We start from the raw sequence: 14393 nt of genomic DNA, 5'->3' as shown, positions 1-14393 counted from the left end.
AGAAAATTAGTAAAGCATTAACAGGTTAATCTTTCTATTTCAGAAGTTAGAAAAAGCATAACAGTGGAAGCCTAGAAAGTAGAAAAAAGGAGATAATAACAAACAGAGATTCAACAGGGAGGGCCAACGATGTCAAAACTGGTTCTTTGAAAAGATTAAAAATAAACCTCTGACCAAGAAATGTAGGGAGGAGTCACAAATACTCAATATTTGACCTGCAGAGGAGATCATAGGTAGATTTCAAAGGTTGTTAAGAATTTTAAAATTTTAAACAAATTCCTAGAAGTATACCAAAACTAGCTTCAAAAAATCTGAGATTAGCTGTATTTAAATTAGAAAGCCTGAATAATCTCATAAGTATTAAACAAACTGAATGAATATTTTAAAATCCTTCCACAAAGAGAACACCAGACTCATACAGTTTTACAGGTGAATTCTGCCAAATCTTTAAGGAAAAAACAGTTTTAAAGTGATACAAACTTGTCTCAAAAATAGAAAAAGAGAGAGAAAACTCCCCCGGCCATTCTTTGAGTCTTGTATAACCTTGATATTAAAATCAAACAAAGTATAGACAACTGAAAATCATGAGCTGATCTCATTCAGGAACAGATAGATGTAAGATGCTTAGACCTGTGATAATAATAAGAACAATAACAGTAGCAGTAACTATTGGCTAAACCAATTTACGCGTGGCTTCTTGGTTGCAGCGAGTTGGCCTTCATACCTGTGCTTCCTGGTCCCTGGTCGTCACCTTTTTCCCCGAACACCTGTGAGGTGTGTTGAAGAGTGAAGGGAGAAGATCTAGCCGACTTAGGAGGGCTCCCTGTGAGCCGACTTAGGGCCTCCCGGTGAGGTGGAGGGATGTGAGGAAGGCAGACAGGCGGGGCCGGTCCACAGGGATTCAGTTGGCCACGGGCATAGGCTCGGTGCTGTGGGTCCCTGCCTTTGTCTTCCGGGCTGTGAGTCTTTGCTCAGCACCAGCCAGCGCAGGCTTGGTTTGCAACGATCATGATTCAGGGCAGAAGGTCTTGGTCCCTGTCCTTGAGAAGCTTCCAGTCTCCTGAGAAAGATACACATTCATCCAAAAATTAAACAAATAAATGCAAATGTGCAACCTGTGATAAGAAGGAAGGACATGAAGTTCTGTGGAGCTCTGAGAGACTGTAATGGGGATGCAGGCTTTTCTGATGATGAGAAGGCTGCTCTGAGGAAACACCATTTGATCTGAGTTTAAAGACACATGAAGAGTGAGCCGGTCAAAGAAAGAAAGAGAAGACAGATCTGGGCAGGGGCGACAGCAAGTAAGTCCACTGGCCCCGCGTGGGAGGGAACCCCTCCTACTGAGGAACTGGTGCCCAGTGAGGATGCAGGGAGAAGCTCAGAGGGAGGTTAGAAGTCACCCAGGCCCTGAGCCCACAGGAGGAGTGGACTTGAACGGAGAATCAGTCACCCAGGCCCTGAGCCCACAGGAGGAGTGGACTTGAACGGAGAATCAGTCACCCAGGCCCTGAGCCCACAGGAGGAGTGGACTTGAATGGAGAATCAGTCACCCAGGCCCTGAGCCCACAGGTGGAGTGGACTTGAATGGAGAATCAGTCACCCAGGCCCTGAGCCCACAGGAGGAGTGGAGTTGAATGGAGAAGGCCATTGAATGGCTTTAAAAAAGGAACGATGCAGCCAAGATAGTCATTATCTAAAACTCTTTCTGACTGTGGTGTAAAGAATAGAACAGAGCAGGAGACCTTTGCATCAGTCCAGGTGAGAGATGACTGTAGCTTAGACAAGGGCGGTGGTGGAGTTGGAGATATATGGGGGAGTGTTGGTGAGACTTATGAAGAAAAAGGACAGAGCTTGATGATTAAATATGAGATGTAAGGGAAACAAATCAAAGATGGGCTATCAGACAGATGGAGAGGCCATTCACAAATAGGAACTAGTGGAGAAAGGCCAAATTAGGGGTGAAGTGAAGAGAAGATAAAACTCTATTCAACATTATCTGCCTCTGAGACAATCAGATGGAGATCTTTTTAAAAATACAACATTTATTTCTTACAGTTCTAGAAGCTGAGAAGTCCAGATCAAATTGCCAGCAGATTTATTGTTGTCTGCTGAGGGCCTGCTTCTTCATTTGCAGGAGGTTGCCTTCTTTCTATATCCTCATGTAGTGAAGAGAATGATATGTCATGTCTCTTCTTTTTACAAGGGCATAAATAACATCATAAGAGCCTAACCCGGATGGAGATTTTGAGTGGGAAACACAAATCTGGAGCTCAGAGATGAGTTCCATGTTCAAGATACAAATTTAGAAGTCCTCTGTGCATAGCTGAAAATGTCTTTCTTTTCTTTTTTTTCCTTAGGCAGAGTCTCACTCTGTTGCCCAGGCTGAGTGCAGTGGCACGATCTTGGCTCACTGCAACCTCTACCTCCCCGGTTCAAGAGATCTCGTGCCTCAGCCTCCCAAGTAGCTGGGATTACAAGCATGCACCACCATGCCCAGCTAACTTTTGTTTTTTTTAGTAGAGACAGGGTTTCGCCATGTTGGCCAGGCTGGTCTCAAACTCCTGGCCTCATGTGATCTGCCCACCTCGGCCTCCCAAAGTGCTGGGATTATAGGCATGAGCCACCACGCCTGGCCTCATAGCTGAAAATTTTAATCACATCAATTGTAGATGTTGACAAATAGGAAGAGACTACAGAGAAAGCAGAGAAAAGAGTTTAAGATTAACCTTTGAGGAACTCCAACACTTGGAATTTGGATGGAAGACTGTAGAAATAGAAGGAAAACCAGAAGAAGGTGGTGTCATGGAGAACAAAGGGAAGAACGTGCTTCAAGAAGGAAGCTGTGGTCACCGGGGTTAGATGCTATTATTGGGTGAAGTAATTAGAGAACTGAAGCATTCCCGCTGCACCTAGTGCTCCGTGTGACAGTGATGTTAACTGGGTCTATTCTGGAGCCAGGTTGGAGTGGGGCAGGAAAACGTAGATTGAGGGAAATTGGAGAGTCCTTTGGCCAACCCTGATATTGGTGCCATTGAGGCCACATGCCACTTCCCACTGCATGTGCCAATGCATTTACCCTTCCAGGCAAGAGAATTGGTCCCCTGGACAAAAAGGGAACCACTCATTTCTTGCCTCTTTTGCACATAGTTTCTTTGCTTTCAGTTGAGAAGGAAATTAAGGGTTGAAGACAAACCTGTACCACTGAATGCATGGTGCCAGCCACCATGCTACAGAAAATCTATAATGAGCTAGTCAAGTGAATAAATCATTGGGGTTTTATCCACTTTGGTTTTAAAACAAGAAAGCTTTATACCATCACTACACTACTTGCCTCCAGTGATCAGAGATGGGTTCTCAGACATAGTATCATCTTCTGTGCTGGCATTGTCATTGTTTCAATTTAGTCTCATAAACATTATACCCTAGCTTTTTTTATGCTGTAGTTTTCCTGTGGTATAATTAATATTCAGTCACTTGTTCAGTGAGCATCAGAATTATTAAAAATGTGTTAAAATGCACTTTCCCAGTTCGTAAGCCTTTAAATTCTCATTTATTGGTTGTTTGGTCTAACTCTGAACCATTTCTCCAAGCTTTGCCAATGTAGCTGGTCCAGGGATCACACTTTGAAAAAACACTGCTCTATATGTGATACTATAATATTTGAGGGTCAGAATAATTAAGGTCATTATATGAATATTCGGCATTAAGCAAGAAACTCAATCATATTCATCTTTTTTTTTTTTTTTTTTTTTGCTTATTACAATAGTGCACATTTTAGAGAGATTTTCACCAAAGGCTGAGAAAAAAAGATATATCTTGCTAGGTTTCAGCTGGCCAGTAAACAAATGTGACTGCATCTCTCTGTGTACTGAAGAGTTCACTGCCTCTCTGGAGGCTGTTCCCACCTGGGGTTAGGGATATCCTTTGGGAAGCAGGGGGTCCTTGCCCCTCTTTTCAGAGCGGCCCCAGCAGAAGGTTGTCACTTCTTTCTCCTAGGTAACCCTGCAAGGGCTGCCCTTTAAGAGTAATCACAAGTAATAGCCATAAACCAAGGGCCCAGAATTGAGTTTATATTCTTAAGGGGTCAAAGAAGAAAGAGATAAAGAACCAAGATGCTTTGTAATTTAGATTTTTTGTTTCCTCAGATCTTTGAGATTCCGGGCCAAATGATAGTTGAGAAAAATGAAAAGGGAAAAAAGGGGCGTGCATGCTCAAAATTCTATATTTAAGTTGTTCATAATGTGATTACTTTTGCTGGTTCTATTAATCTTCAGAAGAGTAGCTAAATGCAAATGTAAGCATTTTAAGGCATTAAAATTATGCAGAAAAATCTGAGTAGAATTCTAAGAATATGTATGTATATGTAATATTTAAATTATAATTTAAGAACCTTTCCAAGAACATTTGCTTAATAAATAGAAATGAGAACAGAAAATTTTGCAATGCTAATTATTATACTACTATCTCTCTCCAGATCTTACAAGATGCTAGGAGATATGTTACAGGTGTTCATTTGAAAAAGAAATAGTTTTAACTTCTCTTTTATGAGAATAATGGAAGATTAAAGAAAGCCAAAGTGAGTGGTTCAGAAAGGGTGTTCCAGAATATTGTAATTATTAACGAGTGCTTGTGTATTGATGGAAAGAAAACATCTTTACTCAAAAGCAATAAAGATCTTCATAGTCCAAGTCCAGGCAATGAGGCGGAATAAGCCCATGCATCAGTTTAAAAATAGAAGATAGAGAGGCATGGTTTCAACCAGGATTGCCTAAACTACCTTTTCATTAGGGAAGAGTTTATGATAATAGAAGCGCAGGTTTACTAAGTTATCTCTAAAGTATTTACACTAATAGACTAATAAAGTTCTCAAGTGATATTCTGGCATGCACTGGCCTCAGGTCAGCTCCTCAGCATGTACAGAGGTCAGGTAGGAGCTCAGGAATGCAAGCGACAGTCTCACTCCCTCCAAATCTGCACAGTCTGTACCATCCCAGAGTCCCTTCAATTACTGTCTTCAATCCTCTTCTTTCTCCAGGCAAAGGCAGGTTTCAGCCACTTCCATAGCCAACGGTCAAAACCTTGGAAAACAATCATCAATGGTTCAGAACCAGAAATAAAAACCAAACTTCCTGAATGATGCTGGGTGTTGCTAGGGAAAAGTGGATAAATGTCTCTCCTAGATAAAAATATTTACTATTTACCCTCAATTTGTTCCTCTTTCTTGTTGCCATTCTTTTGTGCTGGACTTGGAGTTTCATGGTGTTGAACACATAGATGTACCCAGTCAATTCTAAGTAACTGGAATATGAGCTATGAAAACTCCAAACATGGGCCCAGTGTTACCGTCTAGCAAGGATGCTGTTTGCCCTGAAAATCCTGTGTAGGTAGAAAGGACTGGTTTTTCCACATTGCATACTGGGACACGATGTACCTAGCAACATTGCATACTGGGACACGATGTACCTAGCAACTGAATTGCTTATTTGAACCTGCCCCAAGAAGCAGCTATCACTCAAGAGTGTTGTCCTGGGATATGGCTGCAATGATACAGGGTACCCATTGCATAAAACTTGCGCAAAGTTCAGCTCTGTGAAGCAAAGGTATCACAAACACAAGCAAATCCTGACTCCAGTCTTATAAGTCTTGTTTTCCTTCAAAGGTAGTAGACTATACCAAGCTTTATTTAAATGGGAAATGAAATGAAAAATGATTATTTAGGCACATACCCTAATCATCCTAGTGAAGATGAAGAACTACTCTATGAGTCACAGCTGGGAAGCAGCCCTAATGTCTGTGGTCAGATTCTGAGACACCATCACAGATTCACAGATGTTTTACTGGGGGAAGAGTACTCAGCTTTGGTTTAACAAGGATAAAAATGCTTCAGGCTTTCCTGAAGGTGCTGCATCTCTTTTTGTTTGAAACTATGGATATGGGTTTACAATCACCAGTGGTTGTGCATTTAGTAGGGAGTGTGCATTCATCAGTGCCATTAAAGTGGCCTAAATTGAAGCTGAATCAAAAAGTAGCCAATTTATTTTTTATTTTTCTTTCTTCTATGTTGCTTTTCCCTCCTCTTTCTTTCCTTCCTTTTCTCCTTGGGCCACTTGAGGCCTCCCCACAACCTGAGAACAATCAGAGATTACTGGGGTAATGTCAGAAAGATGCAAGTCAACTTGAATAAATTCCCCTTGGCCAATGGTCAATATGAACATCAACAATAATAACTGCACTGAAATACGTAAGATCCATTTAAATCCATTGGTGCATGATGACATTGAAAAACAAAAGGATACCTCATTTGCCTTCTTGTTCTTTGGGAAGATGTGAGAGAAACAACTAATTATTTGTAACTGGTAAAGAAAGGAAAAGAAGCCGGGCACAGTGACTCACGCCTATTATCACAGCTCATTGGGAGGCCAAGGTGGGCAGATCACCTGAGGTCAGGAGTTTGAGACCAGCCTGCCCAAGATGGTGAAACCCCATCTCTACTAAAAATACAAAAAATTAGCTGGGCTTTATGGTGGGTGCCTGTAATTCCAGCTACTCAGGAGGCTGAGGCAGGACAATTGCTTGAACCTGGGAGGTAGAGGTTGCAGTGAGCCAAGATCACGCCATTGCACTCCAGCCTGGGTGACAAGAGTGAAACTGTCTCAAAAAAACAAAAACAAAAACAAAAACAAAAAAAAACAGTGGGGGGATTCTGTTCCAAGATGGCTGAATAGGAACAGCTCCAGTCTGCAGCTCCCAGCATGATCGACACAGAAGATGGGTGATTTCTGCATTTCCAGCTGAGGTACCTGGTTCATCTCATTGGGACTGGTTGGACACTGGGTGCAGCCCATGGAGGGTGAGCCAAAGCAGGGCGGGGGGCATTGCATCACCCAGGAAGCGCAAGGGGTCGGGGGATTTCCCTTTCCTAGCCAAGGGAAGCCATGACAGATGGTACCTGGAAAAACGGGACACTCCCACCCAAATACTGTGCTTTTCAAAGGGTCTTAGCAAACGGCCCACCAGGAGACCACATCCTGTGCCTGGCTCGGTGGGTCACACACCCACAGAGCCTTGCTCACTGCTAGCGCATCAGTCTGAGATTGACCTGCAAGACAGCAGCCTGGCTTGGGGAGGGGTATCTGCCATTGCTGAGGCTTGAGTAGGTAAACAAAGCAGCCGGGAAGCTCAAACTGGGTGGAGTCCACTGCAGCTCAGCAAGGCCTGCTGCCTCTGTAAACTCCACCTCTGGGGGCAGGGCATAGCTGAACAAAAGGCACCAGAAACTTCTGCAGACTTAAACGTCCCTGTCTGACAGCTCTGAAGAGAGCAGTGGTTCTCCCAGCGTGGTGTTTGAGCTCTGAGAATGGACAGACTGCCTCCTCAAGTGGGTCCCTGACCCTCATGTAGCATAACTGGGAGACACCTCACAGTAGGGGCCGACTGACACTTCATACAGGCGGGTGCCCCTCCGGGATGAAGCTTCCAGAGGAAGGATCAGGCAGCAATATTTGCCGTTCTGCAATACTTGCTATTCTGCAGCCTCCGCTGGTGATACCCAGGAAAACAGGGTCTGGAGTGGACCTTCAGCAAACTCCAACAGACCTGCAGCTGGGGGCCTGACTGTTAAAAGGAAAACTAACAAGCAGAAAAGAATAGCATCGACATCAACAAAAAGGACATCCACACCAAAACCCCATCTGTAAGTCACCAATGTCAAAGACCAAAGCCAGATAAAACCACAAAGATGGGGAGAAACCAGAGCAGAAAAGCTGAAAATTCTAAAAACCAGAGCGCCTCTTCTCCCCCAAAGGATTGCCACTCCTCACCAGCAATGGAACAAAGCTGGACAGAGAATGACTTTGATGAGCTGACAGAAGTAGCCTTCAGAAGGTCAGTAATAACAAACTTCTCTGAGCTAAAGGAGGATGTTTGAACCCATTGCAAGGAAGCTAAAAACCTTGAAAAAAGATTAGATGAATGGCTAACTAGAAAGAACAGTGTAGAGAAGACCTTAAACGACCTGATGGAGCTGAAAACCATGGCATGAGAACTACGTGACACATGCACAAGCTTCAATAGCCAATTCAATCAAGTGGAAGAAAGAGTATCAGTGATTGAAGATCAAATTAATGAAATAAAATGAGAAGAGAAGTTTAGAGAAAAAAGAGTAAAAAGAAATGAACAAAGCCTCCAAGAAATATGGGACTATGTGAAAAGACCAAATCTACGTTTGATTGATGTGCCTGAAAGTAACGAGGAGAATGGAACCAAGTTGGAAAACACTCTTCGGGATATTATCCAGGAGAAACTTCCCCAATCTAGCAAGGCAGGCCAACATTCAAATTCAGGAAATACAGAGAACACCACAAAGATAGTCCTCGAGAAGACCAACCCCAAGACACATAATTCTCAGATTCACCAAGGTTGAAATGAAGGAAAAAATGTTAAGGGCAGCCAGAGAGAAAGCTCGAGTTACCCACAAAGGGAAGCCCATTAGACGAATAGCAGATCTCTCGGCAGAAACTCTGCAAGCTAGAAGAGAGTGGGGGCCGATATTCAACATTCTTAAAGAAAAGAATTTTCAACCCAGAATTTCATATCCAGCCAAACTAAGCTTCATAAGTGAAGGAGAAATAAAATACTTTACAGACAAGCAAATGCTGAGAGATTTGGTCATGACCAGGCCTGCCTTACAAGAGCTCCTGAAGGAAGCACTAAACATGGAAAGGAACAACTGGTACCAGCCACTGCACAAACATGCCAAATTGTAAAGACCATTGATGCTAGGAAGAAACTGCATCAACTAACGGGCAAAATAACCAGCTAACATCATAATGACAGGATCAAATTCACACATAACAATATTAACCTTAAATGTAAATGGGCTAAATGCTCCAATTAAAAGACACAGGCTGGCAAATTTGATAAAGAGTCAAGACCCATTAGTGTGCTGTATTCAGGAGACCCATCTCATGTGCAGAGACACACATAGGCTCAAAATAAAGGGATGGAGGAAGAGCTACCAAGCAAATGGAAAGGAAAAAAAGCAGGGGTTGCAATCCTAGTCTCTGATAAAACAGACTTTCAACCAAAAAAGATCAAAAGAGACAAAGAAGGCCATTACATAATGGTAAAGGGATCAATTCAACAAGAAGAGCTAACTATCCTAAATATATATGCACCCAATTCAGGTGCACCCAGACTCATAAAGCAAGTCTTTAGAGACTTACAAAGAGACTTAGACTCCACACAATAATAACGTGAGACTTTAACACCCCACTGTCAATATTAGGCAGATCAACGAGACAGAAGGTTAACAAGGATATCCAGGACTTGAACTCAGCTCTGCACCAAGCAGACCTAATAGACATCTACAGAGCTCTCCACCCTAAATCAACAGAATATACATTCTTCTCAGCAACACATCACACTTATTCCAAAATTGACCACAGAGTTGGAAGTAAAGCACTCCTCAGCAAATGTAAAATAACAGAAATCACAGCAAACTGTCTCTCAGACCACACTGCAATCAAATTAGAACTCAGGATTAAGAAACTCAGTCAGAAACCACACAACTACATGGAAACTGAACAACCTGCTCTGAAATGACTACTGGGTAAATAATAAAATGAACTCAGAAATAAAGATGTTCTTTGAAACCAATGAGAACAAAGACACAACATACCAGAATCTCTGGGACACATTTAAAGCAGTGTGTAGAGGAAAATTTGTAGGACTAAATGTCCACAAGAGAAAGCAGGAAAGATCTAAAAATCGACATCCTAACATCACAATTAAAAGAACTAGAAAAGCAAGAGCAAACAAATTCAAAAGCTAGCAGAAGGGAAGAAATAACTAATATCAGAGCAGAACTCAAGGAGATAGAGATGCAAAAAACCCTTCCAAATATCAGTGAATCTAGGAGCTGGTTTTTTGAAAAGATCAACAAAATTGATAGACTTGCTAGCAAGACTAATAAAGAAGAAAACAGAAAAGAATCAAATACATACAATAAAAAGTGATAAAGGGGATATCACCACCGATCCCACAGAAATACAAACCACCATCAGAGAATACTATAAACACTGCTAAGCAAATCAGCTAGACAATTTAGAAGAAATGGATAAATTCCTGGACACATGCACTCTCCCAAGACTAAACCAGGAAGAAGTTGAATCTCTAAATAGACCAATAACATGCTCTGAAATTGAGGCAATAATTAATAGCCTATCAACCAAAAAAAGTCCAGGACCAGATGGATTTACAGCCAAATTCTACCAGAGGTACAAAGAGGAGCTGGTACCATTCCTTCTGAAACTATTCCAATCAATAGAAAAAGAGGGAATCCTCCCTAACTCATTTTATGAGGCCAGCATCATCCTGATACCAAAGCCTGGCAGAGACACAACAAAAAAAGAGAATTTTAGACCAATATCCCTGATGAACATTGATGCAAAAATCCTCAATAAAATACTGGCAAACTGAATCCAGCAGCACATCAAAAAGCTTATCCAGCACGATCAATTCAGCTTCATCCCTGGGATGCAAGGCTGGTTCAACATATGCAAATCAATAAACATAATCCATCACATAAACAGAACCACCAACAAAAATCACATGATTATCTCAATAGATGCAGAAAAGGCTTTGACAAAATTCAACAGCCCTTCATGCTAAAAACTCTCAATAAACTAGGTATTGATGGGAAGTATCTCAAAATAATAACAGCTATTTATGACAAACCCACAGCCAATATCATACTGAATGGACAAAAACTGGAAGCATTCCCTTTGAAAACTGACACAAGACAGGGATGCCATCTCTTACCACTCCTGTTCAACATAGGGTTGGAAGTTCTGGCCAGGGCAATCAGGCAAGAGAAAGAAATCAAGGGTAGTCAATTAGGAAAAGAGGAAGTCAAATTGTCCCTGTTTGCAGATGACATGATTGTATATTTAGAAAACCCCATCATCTCAGCCCAAAGTCTCCTTAAGCTGATAAGCAACTTCAGCAAAGTCTCAGGATACAAAATCAATGTGCAAAAATCACAAGCATTCCTATGCACGAAGAACAGACAACAGAGAGCCAAATCATGAGTGAACTCTGATTCACAATTGCTACCAAGAGAATAAAATGCCTAGGAATCCAACTTAGAAGGGATGTGAAGGACCTCTTCAAGGAGAACTACAAACCACTGCTCAACAAAACAAAAGAGGACACAAACAAATGGAAGAACATTACATGCTCATGGATAGGAAGAATCAATATTGTGAAAATGGCCATACTGCCCAAGGTAATTTATAGATTCAATGCCATCCCCATCAAGCTACCAATGACTTTCTTCACAGAATTGGAAGAGCCCACATTGCCAAGTCAATCCTAAGCAAAAAGAACAAAGCTGGAGGCATCGTGCTACCTGACTTCAAACTATACTACAAGGCTATCGTAACCAAAACAGCATGGTACTGGTACCAAAACAGAGATATAGACCAGTGGAACAGGGAAGAAGCTGCAGAAATGACACCACACATCTATAACCATCTGATCTTTGACAAACCTGACAAAAACAAGAAATGGGGAAAGAATTCCCTAATTAATAAATGGTGCTGGGAAAACTGGCTAGCCAAATGTAGAAGGCTGAAACTGGATCCCTTCCTTACACCTTATACAAAAATTAATTCAAGATGGATTAAAGACTTAAATGTTAGACCTAAAACCATGAAAACCCTAGAAGAAAACCTAGGCAATACCATTCAGGATGTAGGCATGGGCAAGGACTTCATGACTAAAACACCAAAAGCAATGGCAACAAAAGCCAAAATAGACAAATGGGATCTAATTAAACTAAAGAGCTTCTGCACAGCAAAAGAAACTACCATCAGAGTGAACAGGCAACCTACAGAATGGGAGAAAATTTTTACAATCTACCCATCTGACAAAGGGCTAATATCCAGAATCTACAAAGAAACTTAAACAAATTTACAAGAAAAAAACAAATGACCCCATCAAAAAGTGGGCAAAGGATATGAACAGACATTTCTCACAAGAAGACATTTATGCAGCCAACAGGCACATGAACAAATGCTCATCATCACTAGTCATCAGAGAAATGCAAATCAAAACCACAATGAGATACTATCTCACACCAGTTAGAATGGCAATCATTAAAAAGTCAGGAAACAACAGGTGCTGGAGAGGATGTGGAGAAAGAGGAACACTTTTACACTGTTGGTGGGACTGTAAACTAGTTCAACCATTGTGGAAGTCAGTGTGGCGATTCCTCAAGGATCTAGAGCTAGAAATACCATTTGACCCAGCAATCCCTGTTACTGGGTATATACCCAAAGGATTATAAGTCATGCTACTATAAAGCCACATATACACGTATGCTTATTGTGGTACTATTCACAATAGCAAAGACTTGGAACCAACCCAAATGTCTATCAATGATAGACTGGATTAAGAAAATGTGGTACATATATACCATGGAATACTATGCAGCCATAAAAAAGGATGAGTTCATGTCCTTTGAAGGGACATGAAGGAAGCTGGAAACCATCATTCTGAGCAAACTATCGCAAGGATGGAAAACCAAACACCACATGTTCTCACTCGTAGGTGGGAAGTGAACTATGAGAACACTTAGACACAGGGTAGGGTACATCACACACCGGGGCCTGTGGTAGGGTTGCGGCCTGGGGGAGGGATAGCATTAGGAGAAATACCTAACGTAAATGATGAGTTAATGGGGGCAGCAAACCAACATGGCACATGTATAGCTATGTAACAAACCTGCACGTTGTTCACATGTTCCCTAAAACTTAAAGTATAATAATTAAAAAATAAGGGAAAGACTCAAAGACTCAAGCATTTATTTTGCCTTTCCTAAAGGGACACAATGTAATCAGAGTTGATGAGGTGAAGTTTCATTTTATAAAAGTTTTCTGGCTTAGCAATGAAAAAAATAATGATAGAATTAGAATATCACCATTTTATCACCCATAATGAAATAATGGATTAGTTAACATCACAGTTAACATCAGCTTTTAGCAAATGTAAGTGTCAGAAAAACATGTTAAACATTACCATAGAAATGCAATCAGCAAAATTCTTCCAACAATAAATAGCAGAAAAGGGGGGAGGCAGATCATCTAAAATTTAAAAGAGCCTTAGAAGATATAATCAAACATCGCAATATCTGTTTTATTTTAAATTCTGATTTAAGAGAACCAACATAGATAGATAGACAGTAGGTAGGTAGGTAGGTAGGTAGGTAGGTAGATATAGATAGACAGATAGATAGATAGATAGATAGATAGATAGATAGATAGATAGATAGATAATTAAGGACATTTAAGCATTGACTGATATTTAATAAAATAAGAAATTACTATTTTGATTTTTTGGACTGTGATAATTAAATTGTGATGATTTGATTTTTAAGAGCCATTATCTTTTAGTCATTTTAATAAAACAGTTACAAATGAAGTGATATGAATACTTCCAAATAATTTCCTGATGGCAGTGGGGGTGGGCGAGCATAGACCGGGATATAAATGGAGTAAGATTGGCCATGAGTTGATATTTATTAAAGCTGAGTAAATGGCTGCATTTGAGTTCATTATACTATTATGTTCACTTGGCATATATTACAAATTTTTTGTAATAAAACTTTTTTAAACATTTGGGACATATTTTCTTTTTCTATTCATAAATATATGCATGTAGGTATACTCTACATAACATAACAGACATCTCATTCTTTTATTATTTATATTTTTCTTTTTAATCTACATTTTTCTGTGTTATTAAACACAACATGACATAATGACAGTTTGTGAAGATGTCATAATTCTTGGACATTTAAATTATTTCCAGTTTTTCAGTGTTATAAAGAGGACTGCTCCAATTACCATGGTAGATAAATCTTTGTGCAGATCCCTGTTTATTTTATTAAGAAAATTTTCTAGAAATATGATTGCTGGATATGATATGCACCAATTTCTAGTATTTTAATACTGACTGCCAAAATACCCTTCACAAAGTCTCTACATTGTTAACAGCTATTTCAAAGTGGACCCTCACCAATATAGGTTGCATAGTTTTTCATTTTGCCATTTTGATAGACAGACATTGATATCTCATTTTTACTCATACATATTTCCTGTGGCTTCTGGTCACAGGCCTATATGGAGAACAATCAGGACTCCAAACCTGGAATCTTCAAAAACAATTTAGGACTGAATGCATAGTTTTAAAGAAAAGGTCCAGTCTCATGATATAAGGTATTTTGTCACTTTCATATCTGTAAGAATATATGTCTTTGTATATAATATCCCTGTTAATGGTCTGTATCCAAGTAAAATAATTGATGTAATTTCTGAAATCCTGTTTTTTAA

General features: G+C 40.4%; 1 annotated feature.

The window, feature by feature from the left end:
- Nucleotides 499-1698: an enhancer, noted in NCBI's record as "CDK7 strongly-dependent group 2 enhancer chr13:110165798-110166997 (GRCh37/hg19 assembly coordinates)". NCBI's record gives its function as "activates an origin of replication core promoter dependent on BRD2, BRD4, P300/CBP, MED14 and CDK7 cofactors, with strong dependence on CDK7, by STARR-seq in HCT116 cells {active_cell/tissue: HCT116}" and the evidence as "EXISTENCE:reporter gene assay evidence [ECO:0000049][PMID:35650434]".

This window comes from Homo sapiens, chromosome 13 (assembly GCF_000001405.40).
Source record: "Homo sapiens chromosome 13, GRCh38.p14 Primary Assembly".
In the NCBI taxonomy this organism is placed as follows: Eukaryota; Metazoa; Chordata; class Mammalia; order Primates; family Hominidae; genus Homo; species Homo sapiens.
The sequence above is the reverse complement of the archived record's forward strand: the minus strand, read 5'-3'. Positions and strand labels throughout refer to the sequence as shown.